This window comes from Homo sapiens, chromosome Y (assembly GCF_000001405.40).
Source record: "Homo sapiens chromosome Y, GRCh38.p14 Primary Assembly".
Taxonomy (NCBI): domain Eukaryota; kingdom Metazoa; phylum Chordata; class Mammalia; order Primates; family Hominidae; genus Homo; species Homo sapiens.
The window spans coordinates 4,895,270-4,922,732 of NC_000024.10; positions in this window are offsets into that span (position 1 = coordinate 4,895,270).

Below are 27,463 nucleotides of genomic sequence, written 5' to 3' on the forward strand. Positions count from 1 at the left end.
ATACAAAAATTAGCCGGGCGTAGTGGCGGGCGCCTGTAGTCCCAGCTACTTGGGAGGCTGAGGCAGGAGAATGGCGTGAACCCGGGAGGCGGAGCTTGCAATGAGCCGAGATCGCGCCACTGCACTCCAGCCTGGGCGACAGAGCGAGACTCCGTCTCAAAAAAAAAAAAAAAAAAAAAAAAATACAAAAAATTAGCAGGGCATGGTGGCACATACCTGTAGTCCCAGCTACTTGGGAGGCTGAGGCAGGAGAATCTCTTGAACCCAGAAGGCGGAGGTTGCAGTGAGCTGAGATCGCACCATTGCACTCTAGCCTGGGCGACAGAGTGAGACTCTGTCTCAAAAAATAATAATAATAATAATTTATTAAACTAAGATTTTTTTTTTTTTTTTTTTTTTTTCTGAGGCGGAGTCTCGCTCTGTCGCCCAGGATGGAGTGCAGTGGCGGGATCTCGGCTCACTGCAAGCTCCGCCTCCCGGGTTCATGCCATTCTCCTGCCTCAGCCTCCCAAGTAGCTGGGACTACAGGCGCCCGCCACTACGCCCGGCTAATTTTTTGTATTTTTTAGTAGAGACGGGGTTTCACCGTTTTAGCCGGGATGGTCTCGATCTCCTGACCTCGTGATCCGCCCGCCTCGGCCTCCCAAAGTGCTGGGATTACAGGCGTGAGCCACCGCGCCCGGCCTAAACTAAGATATTTTGAAGGCTCTAAGATGTTCGATTAATTCTAATTATATTAGTGTGTTATGTCCAAATTATAACTTTTTTAAGAGACATGTTCTTTCTCATTCAGGCTGGAGTGCAGTGGTACAAACATAGTTCACTGTAATCCCAAACTTCTGGGCTCAAGCCACCATGCCTGGCTAATTTTTTAAAGACAGGGTCTCACTATGTTGCTCAAGTTGGTCTTGAACTCCTAACCTCAAGTGATCTTTCCACCTCCAGCTCCCAAAACCTGGGATTACAGGTGTGGGCTGCTGCACCCAGTCCCCAAATTATAATTATTAGAACAGTGTCAATACCCCGGAATGTTTTCTTTTTTAACTTTTATTTTAGGTTCAGTGGTGCATGTGCAGGTTTGTTACATAGGTAAACTGCATGTCATGAGGGTTTGTTGCACAAATTATTTTGTCACGCAGGTAACGAGCATAGGACCACATGGGTGTTTTTTCTGATCCCCTCCTTCTTCTCACTCTACACCCTCAAGTAGGCCCCAGTTTCTGTTGTTCCCCTCTTCGTGTCTGTATGTTCTCATTGTTTACCCCCTAGTTATAAGTGAGAACATGTGGTATTTGGTTTTCTGTAGCTGCATTAAAATAATAGTTTGCTTAAAATAATGGCCACCAGCTCTATCCATGTTGCTGCAAAGGACATGATCTCATTCCTTTCAACGTCTGCATAATATTTCATTTATATATATATATATATATGCATGTATATATATACGTGTATATATATATACACGTATATATATGTGTATATATATACGTGTATATATACATGTATATATATGTGTATATATATACGTGTATATATATATATACATTTTCTTTAGTCTTCCATTGATAGGCATTAAGTCAATTCCATGTCTTTGCTATTATAAACAGGGCTGCAATGAACATATGCGTGCATGTGTCATTAAGGTAGGATGATTTATATTCCTTTGGGTATATAGCCAATAATGGGATTGCCAGGTCAAGTGGTAATTCTGTTTTAAGTTCTTTGAAAAATCGCCACTTTGCTTTCCACAGTGGCTGAAGTAGTTTACACTCCCAGCAGCAGTGTATAAGCGTTCGCTTTTCAGTGCAACCTCGGCAGCATCTTGCTTGCACCTTGCCTGGGGCCTACTTGAGGATGGAGTATGGGAGGAGAGAGAGAATCAGAAAAAATACTTATCTGGTCCTATGCTTATTACCTGGGGGACAAAATGGTCTGTCCACCGCACCCCAGTGGCGCATAGTTTACGTATGTAACAAACCCCCACACACACCCCTGAACCTAAAATAAACGTTAAAAAATAAAACTTTCTGGACATATTGACATCTTTCTAGTAATTATAATTTGGGGCCTAGGTGTGGTAGCCCACACCTGTAGTCCCAGAACATTCACTGGCCAAGGTGGGAGGTTCACTTGAGGTCAGTTCTCTTTGACCTCCTAGTAATAGCCATTCTGCCTGGTGTGAGATGGTATCTCATTGTGGTTTTGATTTGCATTTCTCTAATCATTAGTGATGTTAAGCATTTTTTTTTTCATATGCTTTTTGGCCAGTATGTCATCTTTTGAAAACTGTCTGTTCTTGTCCTTTGCCCAGTTTTTAATGGGGCTGTTTGTTTTTTGCTTGTACATTTGTTTATAGAATGTTTTATTAAAAGGTCACTTTTATTTCTTGTATTTTATATTCTAGCTTGCTATTTTTTTTTTGTCTTTTGGGGACTTGTATGCATACAGTAGTAACTCCATGGCATTCTTTTTTAAGCCTAAGCTTTAGTGGATACTGAATAATGCTTAGGAAGGAATGAAAACTAGGATAAAGAAAGAAAAGACTGAAGAAAGACTTTTTTTAAAGTTTCCAATGGAATATGGCAATGGAGATGTCCAGTTGCAAGCTGAACATGCTTGGTTTGGAATTCTGTAGTGAGGTTATGACTATAGATAGAAACTTTGGAGTTACAGGCATAAAACTACAGATATGAACATGCCTGATATTATCCAGAAAGAGCCTATGGAGTCTAAAAAGCAGGTGGTGAGGATAGCTTCCTGAATATCATGAACATTTTAGGATTATTCACACTGAAGAACCTGTAAAGGGAGTAAGAGGAAATAGCCATAATGATAGAGGAAAACAAGGAGAAAGGAGTATCATAGAAATTGAGAAAGGACAATCTCATGAAGACAGTGGGCCACAGTGCAAAATATCAAAGAGAGATGAAGTAAGATAGGGAAAGCAAAGTGACTGGAGCCTTTGGAAATACTGATCGCATTGATAAATTGGGAAGACAGGGTCTTCTATTTCAAGGGAATGGAAGGGGTTGTTGAGAAGCCAGATGATTGTAATTTGGGGACAATGGGCAGTAAATAAGCAGAGGCAGTAAATAACTACAGACTACTATTATGATGACTCTTAGCTATAAAGAAAATGGCATGATGACTAGAGAGACTTATGTTATTGACAAAGAATATAGAGATGATATCGGATGGAACAAGTTTCTTAGGAGACAGAAGAAACAGAAGGGGAGAAATTTGTCATGTGGAGAAGAAGGGAGCCCTCTTCCATTGAGTTATGAGTGAGGAAGTAAAAGATATGTGGACATGAAGATACACAGTACGGGAAAAGTAAGGAAGTTGTACTAATTTCTCGACTTACGGCTTCCATTTTCTCAGTGAAGTGAGAGGCTAAGTCTGCTAACACCAAAAGAGAAAGTGGAATGTTAGGAGATTTGAGGTTAAAAAAAATATAAGTCTGGAGTGGACATTGAAGAGCAACGTAAAGGAATCTGAGATCTTCTCTGTCTTCATGGTGACTAAAAATTATTGGACAATAATTAACACCCTACCACAATGTGGAAACTATAAATTTATTGTAATTTCATATAATGATTGTGCAACACTCTTTCAATATCCAGATCAAATGGTTCTTCCACAGTGAAAATTCCTGTGATCCAAAAAAGCACTGTTTAGCCGTCCTTATTTATGGCACCACTATACCTATGATATATCTCTATAATTGCACTTAGAATAATATATAATGAATATAAATTATTTGTGCTACATGCTGCCATCCATCCATATACTGAGCTTCTTAAAGGCATGTCTGTATTTTGGGATATCTCAACAAATGTTTGTTGAATGAATAAATAAGTAACCAATAATCCTCTTGAGATAGTGCATGTCCAAATGTGTATCTACAATGTTATTACTAATATATCTTTCTCAAAATACCTTCCCAGAAACTGCTCCAACCCAGGTATCCTGACTATATAGCTTAGCTTTGTCAGAATGTGCTCAGTGCAATCAGAAGGAGAGTGAAATTTTGGTAGACAGCAAAGTAGATTAGTCTCAGATGTTCAAATTTCTGGTTTGGAAACTCAGAAAAGAACCATGTATTATAAACATGAGATTGTACTACAAAGATAATTCTCTACATTATTTTTAAATGAAAACCTCTTTTTTCACATTTTATTTTAAGAAAATTAATTTTCTATTATACATCTTACTGGTCAATCTATTAAAACCCATAACCAAAAACAATAAACGATTACTTTTAAAAGAGACTTATCCTTGAATTTTTTTTTTTTAGAAAACATCACATTGTGATAGTTTCTCAAACAATCAATGAGCAAAGATAGTTCTTTCAGCCTCAAGGAAATGGACAGCAGCTCAATCTGTGTGATCTCACTCATTAGGCTGAATGTTAGCTGCCTTTGGAAAAAATATGCCAGGTTTGAATGATGTGGGGTATAATAAAGTTTTATCATGAAAATAATTTTAACCCAAATTAGGTCATTTATATATTTTAATAGCAGTTTAAATTTACTCATTCACATTGTGCAGATTATGGTCGCTCTTCTCTCACAATTATTTTGCAACCTTGTTTAGCATATGTGACTGATAGTGGGTAAATTGATTTTTCAAGGATAAGTTAGTAGGATCTTTCCGTAAAAATCCAGGTGATGATGGAAAAATTATTTTTAAAAAAGCACACAGATATTGTCCATGTTGACAGTTACATCTATTATTTTATGCTAACAGATTCTTTAGCAGCCTAGTGATTAAAAAACTTGGTTTTTGTTAAAAGTAGTTTCAAATTAATTATTTACTGTACTTACCAGTCCCTTTCAGCTGATGATATACTTCTAAATTAATATTTCACATAAATTCTGCACTGAAATTTATAAGAATAAGTCATTCATCCTGTATCAGATCTCATGGGTGTCTATTATTTTTAGGACACCTCTTACCTTATTATCTACCCACCTTTCATTATATGCATACTTTCTGGAAGTTCCACTTAGAATATGAATAATCTTCCATTTTCAAACATATAACAGAGAATATTGTTAGGGCTGTCTTATATGACAGGAAAGGAAAAACTTACATACTTTGACATTTAGCTTCCTGTAATATTGTACCCTATTAAAGAGCATTGAAATGCTATTTATGTTCTGAGTTTCAGCTATACTTTTGCTTATGAAGTTATCTTTCCCCAAACATTCCAGTTTGTTCTTCAATGGAAAAATGCAAAAAATGTGTTTGAAGATATGCATCATGTTACCTATTGGGAGGGTAAAAGAAAGCTTCAGTCAGAAACAAAAGAGGGTGGCTTACGGAAAGGTTTTTTCCCTAAAATTATTGCATGTAATTAACTGTGAGCAAGCTTGAAGATTCATACATTACTAGTAGAACAAACAGGTTTTCCTTATTTTACCATCCATCATTCATTCATTCATGTAACAGGTATTTGTGAGCACCTACTGTGTGTCTGGCAATGTTACTGGCACTGCAGAAATATCAGTAAACAAATAGGCAAAAACCTTTGCCCTCATGGATCTTACATACTTGGGGAAGATGGAATGTAAACAAAATAAATAAGTAAATTATGAAGCATATTAGAAGGTAATAAGCATTAAGAAACAAAAATAAGCAGACAAGAGGAGGTGAGGAAACATAATTTTATATAGTATCATCAGGGAAAAATTCACTGAGATGGTGCCATTTGAACAAAGATCAGGAAACAATGAAGTGAAAAATATGGTTATCTTGGGGAAGATAATTTCAAACAGAAGGAAAGGAGATGCAACAGCTCTAAGCTTGCCTCTTTCCAACAGCAAAGAGGACTATATTGATGAAGTGGAGTGAGCAAAAATGTTGGAGAAGCTGCAGTCAAAGGAGTAAGGGGTTCAGTTGTATAGAAGCTTGATTTGGCCCTTACCTTTACTGAGATGGAAGTCATTGGAGAATTCTTAGCAGAAGAACAACATGATCTGACATAGCACAAAGGATAAAAGTAAGATTTAGCAAATCTTACTAGCTAAGGAAGATTTCTCTTTGTTTGCCAGCTTCAGTGGGATCTCTACTTCTTTTCAGTAAAATTGGAATCTCTGTTAACACCTCTGTTGGGATTACCACTATTTTTTTCTCCCACTGCTTCTTTGTGATTATATATTATACTGTAGATTAGCAGGGTAGACAAATTAACTACAAATGCCTAAGAACACACTGCTAAAATCATTAATTCACACTTTGAAATGATAAGCAAAATGAACATTATAATGTTCATTACTGTGTGGTCACATGCTTTTACAGAATGCAGCTATGTATAGAATAGAATTCAGTTTTTCTTCAAACTTTTGACTCTCCAGAAATGGAACATAAACAGTCAATTAACACAGTCAAAAAAGAGTAGATTTTATATATTAATTACATGCATTATACACTGTATTCTTACAATAAAGTAAGCTGGAGAAAAAAGGTTAGTAAGGGAATCATAAGGAAGAGAAAATGTATTTACTATTCATTAAGCAGAAGTGGATCATCATAAAGGTCTGCAACATAAATGTCTGCATACTCACCTTGAGTAGGCTGACGAGGAGGAAGAACAAGAAGGGCTGGTCCTGCTGTCTCAGGAGGGGCAGAGGCGGAAAGGTGGAAGAGGCAGAAGGGGAGGCAGGCACACTCTGTGTACATTTACAGAAATATGTCATAATTTCTTTCTGAATTTTTCACTTTTTCATTTATCTAGGAGTTTTTCTATACAGTACCGATTCTTCTTCCATTATTTGCTTTAGTTTCACTGGCCATATCATAGAAAGGGCAATGTCATAAAAGAAGTCAAATGCAATCTTGAATCATTGGAACCTTTCTGCCAGATTGCCTTATGTCAATTTCTTTTCTGGCCCTGTTTCTATGTCTTCTTCTTCATTGTCTGGCACTGGTTTGGAAGCACTAATCTCCATCAAGTCATTTTCTTTTAATTTGTCTGGTGTGGGGTCTATGAGCTCTAGAGTTTCTCCAAGCCCCATATCTTCGAAGCCTAAACCCCCCTAAACACATTTTTTTAACATATTCACAATATCTTTCATGATTTCCTTGGTTAGCTCTGTTGTAAGTCCTGTAAAGTAATGCACAACATCTGAAAACAGTTTTCTCCAGCAGAAATTTATTGTTTTGGGCTTGATGGCTTTCATGTTTCTTTCTATAACAATAATGGCATCTTCAATGGTGTAATTCTTCCAGGCTCGCATGATGTTCTCTGTATCCAGGTTCTCTTTCATAGTGTTCACAATCCTTTCCATAGAGAATCACGTGTAATTAGCCTTAAAGGTCCCTATGAGCCCTGATCTAGAGGCTGAGCTTGACATATTGCATCTGGGGGAAGGAGACCACTTCAACACCTTTGGTGTTGAATTCACGGGTTTCAAGTATTCTGGGACATTGTCCAATATCAAAAGAACTTTAAAAAGCCGTGTCTTACTGTAGAATACTTCCTGAGTTCAGAGACAAAGCATGGAAGGAATCAATTCAAAAACAGGGTTCTCATTGTCCAGGCCTTCCTACTGTACAACCCAAAAGACTGGCAGCTGGTGCTTATATTTTCTCTTTAAGGCTTAGAGGTTAGCAGCTTTATAGATAAAGGCAGTCCTGATCATAAACCCGACTGCATTTGCACAAAACAGTAGAGTTAGTCTATCCATTCCTGCCTTACATCCTGGTGCTTGATTCTCCTCTTTAGTAATAAATATCTTTGGTGGCATTTTTTTCAAGAACAGGGCACTTTTCTGCATTATAAATCTGTTCAGTTAGTTATCTCTTCTCCTCACTGTTTTTTTTAATGGCATCTAGGAATCTGTCTGTTGCTTCTTGATTGGCAGAAGCTGCGTCTTCTGTTATTGTTACATATTTTCATCCATACTTCTTTCTAAATTTATCAAACCTTCCTTCGCTGGCATTAAATACTTCAGCTTCCGATTCTTCATCTTCCTTTTGCTTTAAATTGTCATATAATGACTTTGCTTTTTCTCAATTTATATTAAATTGTGTAGGTCTGCCTTTTTTAGTAACAATTCTGCACCCACATAAAAGCTGCAGTTTCAGTGCAAGAGAAAAAGATATTTCACAAAATGTGAAAGGTTTTCACATATGCTGGGATACCAGTAACAATGGCTTCATGTGTTTCTTTTTCTTTTTTTACAGTGCTTCTTATGCTGGATCCATTTACCTTTAAATGGCAGGCAACCGCAGCTGCAGACCTCAATCTACGGTACATATCAAGCAAATCAACTTTTTCTTGTAATGTAATAACTTTTCTCTGCTTCTTGGTAGCACTTCCAGCATCATCAGTGGCACATCATATGAATCCCATGTTGTTACTAAAACACGGTGTTACACTAAACATGATGAAAATATGCAAGAACCATGAGAAATCCCTTTTTACTGTGACGCACAATTTACTAAGGAGACAAGCTGCTCATGTGGAGATGATCAACAGCACAGGGCATTTTAAGTGAATGCTGACAACACGAGCTCACTGCGACAGCAACAGAAGGTGGCTATGAAATTGTAGTAGTGCACTACATACTACAGTTAATTTTATGGAGTTGTGATTTAATAACATATCTTTGTGTTTGTCTACTTTCAACTGCAAATGACACTATGTAAGGTCTGTAAGTGGTTGTATGAATAAGTTTTGATGTATTTTAACTTTTTATAACAGATTTGTGTGTATTTTATGGTGATAAATAATAAAATAGTCAAGTATCTAGGTATTTTATGCATTTACAACATACATAACTTTTTGTTATTTTTTTTCTATATGTCTAAGATATGTGGCTTGTCTGTGAGTTTTTTCAAATTGTTGCAAATCTCCAAAATATATTCCAACATATTTATTGAAAAAATCTGTATGTAAGTGGATCCGCACAGGTCAAAACCATATTGTTCAAAGGTCAACTGTATATCAGGGTTGATTTTACAAAAGTTAAGAAAGAAGAGAAAGATCTAGTAAAATAATTAAAAGAAGAAAAAGGAAGAGATCTGTGTTACAGACCAACGAAGTCCTAAATAGAAACATTTTAAGGGTTATTTTCCTGAGACATCACTTTTGCTATTCTAGCCTCTGGTGAACAAAATCCAGTGTGCCAAAACACTCGTGTTAAAGTAGATTACTCTATCATACATTTATTAGTTACTTTAATTTAAATCTTAAATAAAAGAGATATACATGCCGCTAATTAATTGATGGTGCAGATATCTCAAGACTCAATATAGAAGTCTGAACAATTATATTTGGCAATTAGTGCCAGGTAGACAGACATGGATAGGTAAACAGTTAAGTCTACCAAGTTAGCAGCTCCTTTCAACTTCCTTGCTCTTTCTAATGAAGTCACTTTCTTTAGCAATTTTGCTCACTACTCTTCTCAGGTTTCAATATGCATGGCTAAAAATTTACTATCAAAACTTCTTCATTGTACTACTAGGTTTCTGGTTTTTTTGAATTTTTAAGAGTAATTTTAAGAGTGTTCCCTTAAAATGAATCAATAATCATATAACACCAGAAAATCTGACAAGCTATGAGGAAGATTCTGTAGAAGATCCTTAACTATGCATCCAAATTCACATACAACCCAGTACATTGTGGTGGTGATGGGTATGATCTTAAGCTTTGAAGTCAGACAGATGTGGATTTGAATCCAGGCTCCAACAGTTACTTTGTGACCCTGGACATTTAACCTCTATTTTACACAACCATAAAACAGGGATGGCAATATATAGGGCCTATATATATTTTTGCAATTCGTATTAAGGGAAATGTATATAAAGTCTCAGGCAGGAAGAGTTAGTAATTATTATTAATGTTACGATTATTTCACCAGAAGATTAAATTCCACCAGCTTGTAATAGCATATATTGTCTTCTATTCAGGGCCCACTTAAAGTGCTTTGCGATCTTGAAGAGTTTCAAATAGTACCTGGAACATTATATGTGCCTAAGTGCTAGTTAAGTGTCTGTTAAATAAATTAATTAAATAAGCTTCTTTTTAAAGAAAGGGTTTGGAGATTAAGGAGAATACCTAAACCAGTCTTTCTCTTCTATTATCACTGTAAAATACTTACCTAGTATTGTCAATGGGCTATGAAAAGGGGTCTGGCTCTTATCGCCTATTTTTTCTTTTTTCTTTTTTTTTTTTTTTTTTTTTTTTTGAGACAGAGTTTGCTCTTGTTGCCCAGCCTGGAGTGCAATGGCACGATCTCGGCTTGCCACAACCTCTGCCTCCTGAGTTCAAGTGATTCTTCTGCCTCAGCCTCCTGAGTAGCTGGGATTACAGGCATGCAACACCACGCCTGGCTTATTTCATAATTATAGTAGAGATGGGGTTTCTCCATGTTGGTCAGGCTGCTTTTGAACTCCTGACCTCAGGTGATCCACCCGCCTTGGCCTCCCAAAGTGCTGGGATTACTTGCCTCAAACCTTTGGCCTGGGCTTCTTGATTATATACTTGATATGGTTTGGCTGTGTCCCCACCAAAATCTCATTCTGAATTGCAGTTGCCATAATCCCCACATGTCATAGGAGGGACCACATGGAGATAATTGAGTCGTGGGATCAGTTTGCCCATCCTGTTCTCATGGTAGTGAGTGAGTTTTCACAAGATCTGATGGTTTTATAAGGGGCTCACCCCTTTGCTGGACACTCATTTCTCTCTCCTGCCACCATGTGAAGAAGGATGTGTTTGCTTCCCTTTCCAGCATAATTGTAAGTTTCCTGAGGCCTCCCCAGCCTTGTGGAACGGTGAGTCAATTAAATCTCTTTCCTTTATAAATTACCCAGTCTCAGGCAGTTCTTTATAGCAGTGTGAGAACAGACTAATAAAATACTACCACTGTGAAAACGCTCAGAGATGTTGCCATTTTAGAAACAAGAGTATAGAAGGCTAGAACAAGTTAAGAAACTGAGCTATTTGCAAACAAGGAATATGTTGTTTTCTTTTTTTATGCTTAAGACTGAGGCATTTCTTGATGAATGAATCAACACATCAGTGAATGAATACATGAATAAATAAAACAGAAAAGGGGCTTAATTTTGAGTAGATGAGAGTATCTTCAGAAAGTTTATGGATAACGGGACATTCCTTAAATTCTTATATGATGTACCATTCAAGAAGCTTCATTCTATTGCAGACCTTTCTGTTTTTAGCATATAGAATATAGTGCTAATATAACACTTACTTCTAAATCAAGAATGATCTTATTTAAAATGTCTATGATTTAATTAGGAAATATGCTAATGATGATTTCAAGGAATCTGCTACATCATCCCTTCATATTCACACTACTAAAGAGATATATAGTTTGTATTTGATCAGTAATACTAGGATACATTATAGAGTCTGTAGAGCTTCTTGCTGTATGGTGAAATTCTCAAAGTGTGAAGGTATATCTTATTTTTATTTACATCCTCAGTGCTGAAGAGTTTCCCTAACATATAGTTGTTCTTCAACAATATTTATTGGATAAAAAAAGAATATTAAGATTCAATAAGCTCTGGATAGCAAGGCAAAATTGCCTTAAGAATATCCAATACACTACAAACTGTAAAGTTGTTTTTCTTTTAAAATGCACTACATAAATATGTCATTCAAACATTTAAAAATATATAATTAAACACATTAACATATTGGCTTGTCATGTTACAAGATTATAATAGGTAATATGTATTTTTTAAATTCCCCTCTGTAAATATTGTTCCTTAAGACTGCTCCCACTCAAGGAAACATGCATCCTGAGAATAGTACTTTTTTTTGGTCAATCATCTTTTTCTCTGCTTTAAGATAAAGCCAGTAAATATTTTCCTGTTTTCTACAAGGAATAAGAATGAAAGATTCTATATTTAGGTAATTTCCCCTATCTCCAATTGATCTTTATAATTCACATTTTACAAGTGCACCCCTCTTTTCATCAACATTTTGAAACATTTGAAACAGTTCTTTTTCCTTCCACCTAGAAATTAGTGGAGTACACAATCCTATTTTCTGATTCATAATATTATGACTTTCTTTGAAAAAGTCACCATTTTTTCTGAGTCAGCATTTCAAACAGGTGTACCCTTTTTTCTTTTTAAATAGTATTTGTCTTTTTAGTGCAAATTGTTTTAAATAGGGTTTTTTCTAATATTATAGTTCTTTCCTACTAGATAGAACCAGAAGTTATATCCCCACATCCTAAGGATGGGTTACTAATTTCAAATGCTTTGCTAAACAGAAAATTTTCACATTTAAGTTCCATGCTACCTGGTGGAAATGACAAGAAAGGTTATATTTTGAGCCTAATATTCAAATCAGTAACTCGGCTTTTCACATATCTCTTGCTAATGATGCTGTTTATTTTATTAGACGAATTATATAATGCCATAAAACAGGGGACCTTCTCCAGGTATTTTCTCCTATGGGAGACTAGCTGATAAAGTATGGTATAACCATAACATTGTGGTTTCTTCCAAGATAAGGGTTTCCACAGTGTTTTTCACATAAAGAGTCCTAGAGCTAAGTTTCACTTAATAAAATAAGAGGCAACTTAAAATGATGGTTAAAAAAAAGATACTCATTACAACATGATGTAGTGATGTAGTGGTGGAAAATAAATAGAATGCAAAGAAATGAAAAATAGAAACTTATATATAAGCTTCTTAAAGTGTTGGGACTTAGGCAATACCATACTTGGGCTCAGATACCTGTTGATTGATTAACTGGGTAATGGTGTGTTCTCCTGGACTTTGTAAAAACATTGTAAATATTGACATATATTTGAAAATACATTATAAGCTATATTAAATTTTAGAATATGTAAGGGGCAGCAGTAGTATCTGAAGTCAATATCTTTCACTATTTTTTTTTTTTTCTGAAGGTTCATCCTATAGTTAATGCTTTGGTAAGTAAAGAGGATACAGTACTGGGTCCTGCAACCTAGCTCTGAGTTCTCAGCTAAGGTAAGTAGTTAGTGCTTCATGTAATCAGTGGTATAGAATAACTTCACTCCAGTTACTTATTAGGGAGGATCGTCTTAAACTCTGCCTCTCAATATTATAGATATATATATGAGAAATGTATCCATTATTTAAGTGGCATTTTCTGAAGAATATGCTGCTCATCATTCCTCAAGTGCAGTCATTTCTGCTAAAATATTTTTTGAAAACATGAATTTGTTCCAACACGATTGATATATTAGGGAACAATTTGAATATAAAGAGGATTTTGCATTGTATTAAGCTCTGAAAATCTCTCGGTAAACACAGAAAACTGCACCCAGCATAATAATATAAAACACACACACACACACACACACACACACACACACACACACAAAACAATTCACTGGAAACCTCACTTTATTATGTATGTTATCCTACAAGTTTATGTCTTGCCATTGTTTTGTATTTGAGGATATTTTTATACTAAATAAAAAGTAAACATCCAAAATGTATAAATATTTTGGTTCAAAAATACCAAGTAGTGCATAAAAAGAAAAAATTTAAGTACTGAGGAAAAGCTTGAATAATGAAGTGCTTCACATTGAGAGAACATGATGTTTCCCAAGCAACAGACAGAAATCCACTCTGTGACCCCTTAGAGATAATAAGCAAGAAAAAACAAATGTATATGACTCTGTGATATAATAAAAATCTATTTGGTCTTTGTTTTTGGTTCCTGGAACAGGGCTCCTATAATCTGTGAAATTTCCTGGGAAACTGGAGTGTCATTTTAAAACACCTAAGTTTATGCTAATGAATTGATTTAGTGTGGGGCTCCTAGGTAGCCTCAGGATGGGGCAGGTCACCAGAAGGACCAAGTAATTTGAGGGGTGGAAATTCTACCCTAACCATTGGCCTCTGAGGAGGTGAGCAGGAGACTGGTGATTTGACCCGATGAATCTTCTTGAACCATGTGATTCAGGGAGCTTCTTCTGGGTGGGTGAACACTTCATGGTGCTGTGAGGGTGGCATGCCTGAACAGGGCATGGTAGTTGCACAGCATCCCCTCCTCAATACCTTGCCCTGTGCATCTCTTCTATTTCACTGTTTCTGAGTTTTATCCTTTAAAATAAAATAGTAAACATAAGTAGTGTTTTTCTGACTTCTGTGAGTTGTTCTAGCAAATTGTCCAACCTGAGAAGGATGTCATAGGAACCCCTGAATTATAGCCAGTCAGTCAAAAGTACAGGTGGCCCCCAGGGGTTGCAGCTGGCATCTGAAATGAAAGCAGTTTGAGGAACCAAGCCCTTTAATCTGTGGGATATGATGCCAAATTCAGGTAGATAATATCAAAATTAAATTTGAGTTGTTGGGCATCCAGTTGGTGTGAGAGACTCAGAGAATTGGTTGTTGGTGTACAAAAACTTTACACAGGCAGGAACCACTTGAAGTACTGCTGCAAAGTCAGTAACAACAAGGCCACAATAAATTAAGGAAATGAAAAGATTGTTGAGCATATAAATTCTAGTCTCAACAGTGAAAAATATTGGGAACAATTGTCTCATAAAAATAAAAGACTATCTATAGATAACATCCTTAAACAGAATAGTCTGGGTGTGGTGGCTCATGCCTGTAATGCCAGCACTCTGGGAGGCAGAGACGGGTGGATCACCTGAGGTTGGGAGTTCAAGACCAGCCTGACCAACATGGAGAAACCCCGTCTCTACTTAAAAAAAAATACCAAAAAAAAAAAAAAAATTAACCGGGCAAGGTGGTGCATGCCTGTAATCCCAGCTACTGGGGAGGCTGAGGCAGGAGAATCACTTGAACCCAGGAGGCAGAGGTTGCGGTGAGCTGAGATCGCAGCATTGCACTCCGGCCTGGGCAACAAGAGCGAGACTCCGTCTCAAAAAAAAAAAAAAAGAAAAATAAAAAAAAAAACAGAGTTTGCTAAATCCTGCAGAAGTGACTTCTTTTATCTCGGAAAATGAGTCCTAGGGGTGGCTATTTTAGTGTTGTCAAACATCTCTACAATTCTCAAAGCCTTCAGCTGTCTGGATAAGCTATGGGTGCACATGAGACATCCACAACATAATTCCCAGCAATGATTCACAACTTACTTGAAGAAGTCTATATGCCAAATCAGATTTACAATTTTTATGAAATATGTGTCTATTATAAATTTAAACCTTAAAAACCTGCACCTGAAATGCAGAAAAACATGCCCAGGATTTAAGGCTGTGAAAGATTTTTAACTGCAGCATTTGGAAACAATGCCAAACCCAGGACAATGAGCCGTGCTGATATGATTTGCCTGTGTGCCCACACAAATCTCACCTTGAATTGTAATAATCCTCGCATGTCAAGGGTGGGGCCAGGTGGAGATAATTGAATCACGAGGGCAGTTTCCCCCATACTATTCTCAGGGTAGTGAGTAAGTTTCACAAGATCTGCTGATTTTATAAATGAGAGTTCCCCTGAACAAACCCTCTGTTACCTGCCACCATGTAATATGTATCTTGCCCCTCCTTGCCTTCCACCATGATTGTGAGGCCTCCTCAGCTATGTGGAACTGTGAGTTCATTAAACCTCTTTTCTTTATAATTACCCAGTCTCAGGTATTCCTTTATAGGCAGCCTGAGAACAGACTAATACACACACCTATCCACATCTCCTGCTACAACTTTGCATTTGCTTTCAGATAATCACCCCACACAACCTCACAATAACTCACAAGCTGCAATCCTTCTGAAACCTACTTCCACAAGGTAAAGTGCCATATTATAGCATTTATGTGAAATTGTGCTACCACATATATTAGATTTCTATTATTTATTTTTTATGTGTCACTGAAAAAGTGTTTGAATATTGTGCCCAAACCTCATTTTTCTCATGAGCCCTCAGGTTTTTCTTATACAATTTTGGAAAAAAAAAATATGGTGTTTTTTAGAATACTATAAGTTGTGTTATAGAAGAACTAACTAAACATTAAAATCTATCATCAGGGGAAGCCAGTCAATGAGAGAGCTGTATGATGGGGCCAAATCATTTTTATTTCCCCAAAATTGCTTTCCCTATACTGGCCATGGCATTAGGAAATCAACCTACAGTGAAGGACATTATAAGAAACTATCCTCTGAAATTCATTATTCTATTCACTGTAAGAATGTTGTTGAATATGATGCTTACCACATTACACAAATCAAATTTTCAATTTTGATGAAATGGGTGTCTATTATAAATTTAAACCTTAAAAACCTACACCCGAAATGCAGAAAAACATGCCCAGGATTTAGGGTGGTGAAATAGTCTTCTTTTTTTTTTTTGAACTAGAAATACCATTTGACCCAGCCATCGCATTACTGGGTATATACCCAAAGGATTATAAATCATGCTGCTATAAAGACACATGCACATGTATGTTTATTGCAGCACTATTCACAATAGCAAAGACTTGAAACCAACCCAAATGTCCAATAATGATAGGCTGGATTAAGAAAATGTGGCACATATACACCATGGAATACTATGCAGCCACAAAAAAAGATGAGTTCATGTCCTTTGCAGGGACATGGATGAAGCTGGAAACCATCATTCTCAGCAAACTATCGCAAGGACAAAAATCAAACACCACATGTTCTCACTCATAGGTGGGAATTGAACAATGACAACACTTGACCACAGGAAAGGAAACATCACACACCGGGGCCTGTTGTGGGGTGGGGGGAGTGGGGAGGGATAGCATAGGAGATATACCTAATGTAAATGACGAGTTAATGGGTGCAGCATACCAACATGACACATGTATACTAACTAACTAACCTGTACGTTGTGCTATGTAACTAACCTGCACGTTGTGCACATGTACCCTAGAACTTAAAGTATAATAACAAAAAAAAAAGATTCTTAACTGTGACATTTGGAAACAATGTCAAACCCAGGACAATGAGCCATACACAGTATTCTCTTTATGATGGCCCACACAAGAAGTTTCACTCTGGCCTTAGTCCCAGGAAGAGTTATGCATCTCCTGAAAAATTAGTTTGCTTTTATTTTTATGTACACTGAGACTTTTAAAGGAGTATCTTAACAGAGTTCAATGAATATTTCTTAAATAAATGAATAAATGTGTTTTTAAACTGTTTCTTTTTCCACTTTGGAGAAAATGCTTAGAGCCAAATTTATGAGCCTCTTCTAGGAAGTGTACAGAAACCAGAAACATTATTAAAATATTCTGAGCTGAACTCACAATAATAGCTTCTTACTTGTGCATTTCAACTATAACTGATCACTGGCTTAAACCTTACTTGAAAATTTGTATAATTGCTGACAGTCTAAATAAGTAGCACTCTGACTAATGAATGAGTTATAAGTCTATTGAAAAATCCTATTTTCATAGATTCTGCAGATGCAGCACCAGAAGTCAGCTAGAGGAGACTAACTAATGTTAACAATCCTTCTGAGGTACTTCTTAATTGACATTTTATTGTATTACAATTACGCAAACTGTGCCAAGCTGACTAGGACTAAGACAAAGGAGACAGTAGTTTATATATTTATTTACTTTTGCTCCTAAATGATTCCTGAGAAGGAGTAATAAAATCCTAAACCAGAGTATACAGGCTTTGAAATGATATATGTAAAATCCAATAAGGCCAGTGAGAATCATGTGTACCTTCTCTCTCCTTCTCGTCCCCATATACAATAACTAGGCCCAATAACTTGAAAAGGGTATAATCAAAGTATTTAAAATAATGGAGTATATTGTGACTGAGAGTAGCAATTAATGGGAAAAAATAGTAGTTATTGGTCTGAAACTTTTACTAATAACTCTTCTTGTATAATCTCTGTCCAGCAACTTAAATACCCAAGAGAAGCATTCTAATGCCTTGGTCACAAGTTTCTCTTTTTATTTATTTATTTACTTTTTTATTATACTTTAAGTTTTAGGGTACATGTGCACAATGTGCAGGTTAGTTACATACATATACATATGCCATGTTGGTGTGCTGCACCCATTAACTCGTCATTTAACATTAGGTATATCTCCTAATGCTGTCCCTTCCCCCTCCTCCCACCCCAAAACAGGCCCCGGTGTGTGATGTTCCCCTTCCTGTGTCCATGTGTTCTCATTGTTCAATTCACACCTATGAGTGAGAACATGCAGTGTTTGGTTTTTTGTCCTTGCAATAGTTTGCTGAGAATGATGGTTTCCAGCTTCATCCATGTCCCTGCAAAGGACATGAACTCATCATTTTTTATGGCTGCATAGTATTCCATGGTGTACATGTGCCACATTTTCTTAATCCAGTCTATCATTGTTGGACATTTGGCTTGGTTCCAAGTCTTTGCTATTGTGAATAGTGTCACAATAAACATATGTGTGCATGTGTCTTTATAGCAGCATGATTCATAATCCTTTGGGTATATACCCAGTAATGGGATGGCTGGGTCAAATGGTATTTCTAGTTCTAGATCCCTGAGGAATCACCACACTGACTTCCACAATGGTTGAACTAGTTTACAGTCGCACCAACAGTGTAAAAGTGTTCCTATTTCTCCACATCCTCTCCAGCACCTGTTGTTTCTAGGTGCCATTCTAACTGCTGTGAGATGGTATCTCATTGTGGTTTTGATTTGCATTTGTCTGATGGCCAGTGATGATGAGCGTTTTTTCATGTGTCTTTTGGCTGCATAAATGTCTTCTTTTGAGAAGTGTCTGTTCATATCCTTCGCCTTGTTGCAAAAATTTTCTCCCATTCTGTCGGTTGCCTGTTCACTCTGATGGTAATTTCTTTTGCTGTGCAGAAGCTCTTTAGTTTAATTAGATCCCATTTGTCAATTTTGGCTTTTGTTGCCATTGCTTTTGGTGTTTTAGACATGAAGTCCTTGCCCATGCCTATGTCCTGAATGGTATTGCCTAGGTTTTCTTCTAGGGTTTTTATGGTTTTAGGTCTAACAGTCAAGTCTTTAATCCATCTTGAATTAATTTTTGTATAAGGTGTAAGGAAGGGATCCAGTTTCAGCTTTCTACATATGGCTAGCCAGTTTTTCCAGCACGATTTGTTAAATAGGGAATCCTTTCCCCATTTCTTGTTTTTGTCAGGTTTGTCAAAGATCAGATAGTTGTAGATACGTGGCATTATTTCTGAGGGCTCTGTTCTGTTCCATTGGTCTACATCTCTGTTTTGGTACCAGTACCATGCTGTTTTGGTTACTGTAGCCTTCTAGTATAGTTTGAAATCAGGTAGGGTTATGCCTCCAGCTTTGTTCTTTTGGCTTAGGATTGACTTGGCGATGCGGGCTCTTTTTTGGTTCCATATGAACTTTAAAGTAGTTTTTTCCAATTCTGTGAAGAAAGTCATCGGTAGCTTGATGGGGATGGCATTGAATCTATAAATTACCTTGGGCAGTATGGCCATTTTCACGATATTGATTCTTCCTACCCATGAGCATGGAAAGTTCTTCCATTTGTTTGTATCCTCTTTTATTTCATTGAGCAGTGGTTTGTAGTTATCCTTGAAGAGGTCCTTCACATCCCTTGTAAGTTGGATTCCTAGGTATTTTATTCTCTTTGAAGCAATTGTGAATGGGAGTTCACTCATGATTTGGCTCTCTGTTGTTGGTGTATAAGAATGCTTGTGATTCTTGCACATTGATTTTGTATCCTGAGACTTTGCTGAAGTTGCCTATCAGCTTAAGGAGATTTTGGGCTGAGACAATGGGGTTTTCTAGATATACAATCATGTCATCTGCAAACAGGGACAATTTGACTTCCTCTTTTCCTGATTGAATACTCTTTATTTCCTTCTCCTGCCTAATTGCCCTGGCCAGAACTTCCAACACTATGTTGAATAGGAGTTGTGAGAGATGGCATCCCTCTCTTGTGCCAGTTTTCAAAGGGAACGCTTCCAGTTTTTGCCCATTCAGTATGATATTGGCTGTGGGTTTGTCATAGATAGCTCTTATTATTTTGAGATACGTCCCATCAATACCTAATTTATTGAGAGTTTTTAGCAGGAAGAATTGTTGAATTTTGTCAAAGGCCTTTTCTGCATCTATTGAGACAATCATATGGTTTTTGTCGTTGGTTCTGTTTATATGCTGGATTACATTTATTGATTTGCATATGTTGAACCAGCCTTGCATCCCAGGGGTGAAGCCCACTTGATCATGGTGGATAAGCTTTTTGATGTGCTGCTGGATTCGGTTTGCCAGTATTTTATTGAGGATTTTTGTATTGATGTTCATCAGGGATATTGGTCTAAAATTCTCTTTTTTTGTTTTGTCTCTGCCAGGCTTTGGTATCAGGATGACGCTGGCCTCATAAAACGAGTTAGGGAGGATTCCCTCTTTTTCTATTGATTGGAATAGTTTCAGAAGGAATGGTACCAGCTCCTCCTTGTACCTCTGGTAGAATTCGGCTATGAATCCATCTGGTCCTGGACTTTTTTTGGTTGGTAAGTTATTAATTATTGCCTCAATTTCAGAGCCTGTTATTGATCTATTCAGAGATTCAACTTCTTCCTGGTTTAGTCTTGGGAGGGTGTATGTGTTGAGGAAGTTATCCATTTCTTCTAGATTTTCTAGTTTATTTGCATAGAGGTGTTTATAGTATTCTCTAATGGTAGTTTGTATTTCTGTGGGATTGGTGGTGATATCCCCTTTATCATTTTTTATTGTGTCTATTTTATTCTTCTCTCTTTTTTTCTTTATGATAGACCGCTAGCAGTTTCTCTTAAAGTAAAAACTTTCTTACTGTATTTTATGACATATTTTACTGTGCATACATAGGAACTAGATGAGACCCACTAAAGAGATTATCTCTGTAACTTTTACTACTGTTGACTGAGAACACTTTATTCCATTTTAAATCATTTGAGAAAACTGTAAACATTTTCTGAGCCTTAGGCCTGGCCTTACCCCTGATCTTTAAAACTGATAGACAACAACCACAAAAGTTTCAGTAGAAGCCATTTAAAAGAAAAAAAAGCCTCTCATTATCTTGAAACAGAAGGTGTATTAGTCTGTTCTCACACTGCTATAAAGAACTGCCCCAGACTGGGTAATTTATAAAGGGAAGAAGTTCAATGGACTCACAGTTTCACCTGGCTGGGGAGGCTTCAGGAAACTTACAGTCATAGTGGAAGGGGAAGCAAACACATCCTTCTTCACAAGGTGGCAGGAGAGAGAAGTGCCAAGCAAAAGGGGGAAAAGCCCCTTATAAAACTGTCAGACCTTGTGAGAGCTCACTCACTGTCATGAGAACAGCATGAGAGTAACCATCCCTATGATTAAATTAACTCCCACTGGGTCCCTCCCATGACACATGGGGATTATGGGCACTACAATGAAGGTGAGATTTGGGTGGGGACACAGAGCCAAACCATATCATTCTGCCTTGAGCAACTACACCCCTGTGGCTTTGCAGGGTACAGCTTCCCTCCTGGCTGTCTTCACAGCCTGGCATTGAGTGTCTGTGGCTTGTTGTCAGTGGTGCATGGTGCAAGTTGTGGTGCATGGTGCAAAAGGGGGAAAAGCCCTTTATAAAACTGTCAGACCTTGTGAGAACTCACTCACTGTCATGAGAACAGCATGAGGGTAACCATCCCCATGATTAAATTACCTCCCACTGGGTCCCTCCCATGACACATGGGGATTATGGGCATTACAATCAACGTGAGATTTGGGTGGGGACACAGAGTCAAACCATATCATTCTGCCTTAAGCAACTACAGCCCTGTGGCTTTGCAGGGTACAGCTTCCCTCCTGGCTGCCTTCACAGCCTGGCATTGAGTGTCTGTGAGTGTCTGTGGTGCATGGTGCAAGTTGTCAGTGGATCTACTATTCAGGGGTCTGGAGGATGGTAGCCCTCTTCTCACAGCCCCACTAGGCAGTGCCCCATTGGGACTCTGTTTGGGGGCTCTCACCCCACATTTTCATTCCACTCTGTCCTAGCAGAGGTTCTCCATGAGAACTCCACCCCTACAGCACTCCTCTGCCTGGACATCCAGGTGTTTCCATACCTCCTCTGAAATCTAGAGGTTTCCAAACTTTAATTCTTGATGTCCCTAAAAACCAAATTGATTATTTAAAAAGACAAGATATAGTTATCTACATGATTTAGCTAATACAGTTGCACTAGTTATTTTTCCCAGATTCCCACTGAATGAGTCTTTAATGCGTTGGAATAAAATTATATTCAATACAAAATCTACCTTTCAAAATCAGGTAAGAAAACATACAAAACTATTCAAGTGACCAAAGTTAAGATAAATGCAGGAATGAATAATTAAAATCAAGATTTTATCACAATGTTTTAGAGTTAATCAATATTCACAGAAATGTGACACTAGTGATACATCACAAGCATATCATGAGAGCTGAGACTTTCTTCAAATAATAATGACTAACACTGTATTTTTACTATGTATCAGTTCACCAGAGAAGCAATGTAATGAATTACTTTGTTTAATGAAGATGAAATTATTTTTCACATTTTGCCAATGAGGAAACTGAGAAACGGTTGGTACGGACAAAGGGCAGTACTCTCGTCCATGTCTACCTTCAGCTCAAGCTTTTGTTCTTAACTACTTTGCTCTAATACATACTGCATTAATGCTGGTAAGTTTGGATGGCCCATTTAAAATTTTGTCTGATTCTATAGTTATCAGTAACACAGAATACTAAATTCCTTTATCTCAGTTATAGTTACATTCAACAAATATAATATAACTAAAATATATTTTAAGTAGATTGAACTTATATTGAAAATTAAAACTGTTGTGGGGTGGGGGAGGGGGGAGGGATAGCATTAGGAGATATACCTAATGCTAAATGACGAGTTAATGGGTGCAGCTCACCAGCATGGCACATGTATACATATGTAACTAACCTGCACATTGTGCACATGTACCCTAAAACTTAAAGTATAATAAAATAAAATAATCTGAAAAAAAACAAAAAAAAAGAAAAGAAACTTAAAAATATTGAAAAATGTTGATTGTTGATAGCAATAGTAATAAAAACATCCACAATATTGAGGATGAAAGCCTGAAAATTAACTTATTTCAGTGATAATTTTTACTCTGTAAAGGCTGTGTAGTATAGTTAGGGATCAAAAAATTAACTTTAAGCATATTACAATTAACCATAGCAATCCAATTTTATCAATCAAAATCAAATCCATGTATGTTAATTAACAATCTGAATACTATCATTTTTCTTTCATTCAGTAGCATCCTGTTTGTATCTTGGTGAAACAGAATAAAAGCTTCTGGCAAGATATATTAGATTTTAAAATATTTGGATAATTAACATGCTTTCATATAAAGAGTATACATTAATTAGTGTTTTACTTCCCTAAAACACATTGATAGAATAGTTTATCATTGTATTTAATACTGTTATTATTTTCATTACTAACATTCATTGAATGTTTACTAAGAACTAGTGATTGTGATAGGCATTTTATTCACATTATCTCATTTATTGCACACAGCCCTAACATAAATACCACTATTACCTCCATTTTGAAGATAACTATAGCTAGTATTTACTGTGGACCACCATTAGCAATCTCAGTTCCAGTGCTCCAAAGAAATATTTTAAAATGAGTGGAACATTGTCCTTGTTCTTATGCAGGTTGTAGTCTGGTAAATTTATCAAAATTTTCTTGAAAAAATCCTGTGCATCATTATATGCCATGTTGAATTGAATCTTTGCTCTACTTTTCTAGCTAAAATATATCAGGTAGAATTATCTGAGTGTAATTATTTATATCAGAATATGTCACAGCATTTAGAGATTTTCTAATTTGTACTTAATTGCTATGATAAGAAAAATATTAATACGTAACCAAAGCAATTATTTTGGTCTCAAATATTAAAAATGTGATGGTATTCCGCTGAAGTGTTGGAACTTTTCTTGTTATTTTGAATAAATATTTCTGTTATTCAAAGAAATTCTAACAGTTGTTTTCTGACTTCTAATGAATATGTTGCAAATGTTCTTAGTGATATACATCAAATGATTAAAGGTATAGTTTTCCAGAAAGCAGAGTTCATTACTGTATATCTCTTATCCTGGTAAGACAAATCTGTACTTGATTTTGGTGTTAACAAAAAGAAGCAAATATTTTTTACTCTTTAATGATGTTTTATGCTTAAACTACATAGAGATTTTCTTGGTATTCATTTGGAACATTGTTTCCTTGTCTCATTAATACTTGTAGTTTTCAATTGGTAGATAAGAGGAATTTTTGTAGTTAATTTTACTCAGATGGAGAGACAAAAGCTCAAAGAAGGTAGAATCATACAAATCTGAGACCAAGTCTATTAAATAAAAGTGAAGATTATTGCCAGGAAAAATATTTTAATAATAATAATTTACCTAGAATGAAAAATTTGGAATCAAAGGTAGAACTCAGCATTCATTTATCCTTTTGTATATGGAACAATTTTAGAAGTGGGGTAGGGAAGAGGTTCAGAGTAGATTTTCAGAAGAAACAAAAGATGCACACTTATTATCTTGTCACTTCTTTATAATACATTATTATCCCTAATTTATAAAAACATAAAGAAAATAAAATGAAGAAGAGGTTTAAAAAGAAGAGGAAGAATTTGCCTTCAAAGTAGGACAAAGAAACTAAGCATAAGAGAAACTACTTTTCAGTACACTATGTCTGAAACAAATTTGTTACAACTAAAAGAGGACACCAATATTTTAATTTTAATGTATCCAGATGGATAAGAGAAACTCAGTAAAATTGCTTTCAACAAACAAATTAAAAAAAAAAACCCAAAGGTATCCAGCATTTCTACACTATTTATAAGTGCAATGGCTGCTGCTTCTGAAAAGACTTACAGAATCTGCTTTTATGTTATTTTTTGATGTCATTTATAGTGTAGCCATTGTTAGACAATGACTGATTCAATTAAAGCTAATGCTTTTGATTTCTTAAAGCTCTGAATAGTATTTTTAATTGCAATTGATTACATACTTATTTAATAAAAGGGAAACTGTTGAACTGACCGAATAATGGTATCCCAGAATGAGGATTTACATCAGTTATTGGTTGAAACATTTAAAACTTCAGAGTAATATTATAATTTTCCTATTATTCAAACTTATAAATGAAACAAAAAGTGATTTTTTTCTATGCTTTCAGAAACAGGAATTCACCAGAACTACTTTACTGAATAGGTGAGTGAATTATTCATTAAGATGATCAGTAGGACTGGGTCTTTTTTAACTCTAAGGAGATATGTATATTACTTCACACAGAAGCAATTATTAATTTACTGATAGCATAGATAACTTCATACTTTAATTTTTGCAATTTTAATATACATGTTTATACTATTTTATTTAATTTTAATAAAAGCAAATAAAGTATTGAATATGTAATCATTTTGAGATAACTCTGGAGTAGTAAATTACTATAATTTCACTTTTCTTTGCCTTTTATTTCTTTATTAGTTTGTTTTCACGGTGCTGATAAAGACATACCCAAGGCTGGGTAATTTATAAGGAAGAAGAGGTTTAATGGACTCACAGTTCCACGTAGCTGGGGAGGCCTTACAATCACGGTGGAAGGTGAAAGGCACAACTTACATGGCTGCAGGCAACAGAGAGAATGAAAGCCAAGTTAAAGTGGTTTCCCCTTACAAAGCCATGAGTTGTCGTGAGACTTATTCACTACCATGAGAACAGTATGGGTGAAACGGCCCCCATGATTCAGTTATCTCCCACTGGCTCCCTTCCACAACATGTGGAAAATACCGGAGCTACAATTCAAGATGAGATTTGTGTGGGGACACAGCCAAACCATGTCAAATTATTTCTTGCAACTTCCAAAAAAAAATTTTTTTTTAGAAATAATTCATTATTTTTTGTTTCATTAGATATTCTTGTAAAGTCTTGATGGTAAATCTGAATGATCAAAAACTAAGAGCCAAATAGTGGGTTGTTGTTACATATGGTTAAAGTTCATTTAGCCCTAAAATAATGGGAACAAGAGAATAATGACCAGAGGAGGGACATTGGGGAGGTGATGAGTATAGTAGGAATCTCTAGCAGTCTTGCAGACATCATGTGAATTTTTCAAATCTGATACTCTCTTGTTTTAAGATAGCCAGATGAAAAGTCGATTCAATGGAGAAAAAAGAGGGGTTTGGCATGAAGTTTCCTAAGTACAGCCAGGCCAAAGAATGTAATGTATAGAAAAAGCCACAGTAGAGTTTATGGGAATTAAAGCAAGGGAAACCAACTAAATTAATCTGTAGTCTTCATTCGACAATCTCACATACCTGTTTCCCTCACATATATACTCATTCTTAAATTCACTGTTATGACCACATTAGAACTCAACTTCAAATTTGTGTTATTAATCTTTTTTATAAAGCATTTCCAAGTAGATTTACTTAACATTATCTAATATCTTGCAAGTGTATGGCAGTATTATTTTCAGCAATATGGAAAATGATGAAAATACTGGTTACTGCAATAGATTATGTTGCAGAAAATAATGCAAGAGCCTGTGAAATTCCTTGGACATGTGACACATTATACATAAACCAGTCAATGATCTAGGGAATTATAGTGAACTCTGGTCATTCAGGTGAAGTAACATAAGAGCACAAAACATTTCTAGTTTCAATCCTGCTTCGTATCATTTACACTCACCAAGCATCAATTTCCTCTTCCATAAAATTTAGATACTAAAATTTTTGTCTTCCATAGGGCAGTTATGAGGATCTCATAAAACAATAAATACATAGGAGTATTCTTCAAAGAACAATGTATTACAGGGATGCTAGTTATTTCTGTTAACCCAGCAACTCGAATTACCCAGGAATCCTGATTAATGCTATGGCATATAAATTGGGAGACTCTCAAGATTCTCTAAAATCAGTTTTAAAATGTAAAATGTATGCTTTACTGGAACACATTTATCTCAAGAAAGAGCATCATAGCAATTTGAATATGTAATCTAGTATTAAAAAAACATTTGTAGCAAATTATATCCACTGTAAAGAAAATTATTACAGGACACACATGATCTGGACTTAGTGCTTAAGGAGGTAATAGATAAGTAAGGAGATATGAAGAATAGAAAAAAAATTCTACTTTTATTTTTGAATACGTAGCTGTATTTCTGAGGTTGAGTCTGAGTTAACCTACCCGTATAACCGTTTCTTCTATCTCTTCTTTAACTAACATAGATCATCCTCTCAGTGCATCTTTTAGCCTAGAGAAAAGCTAGGTTGGGATTTATGGAAGGAACAAGAACAAAATAAAACCATATCTGCTCTATTTTTCCATATCAATTGATTTCAGAGTGTACTTCATTCTCAACAAATGAAAAAAAAAAAAAACAAGAATTTCCCTTCATGGTTTATTCTACTGGTTTAGAGGTAACTGTAATTAACTTTCTGCAAACTCCTCACTTAGCAAAAATGCATTACCTTTCAAATTATTTGTATTGTAGATACAATACAAA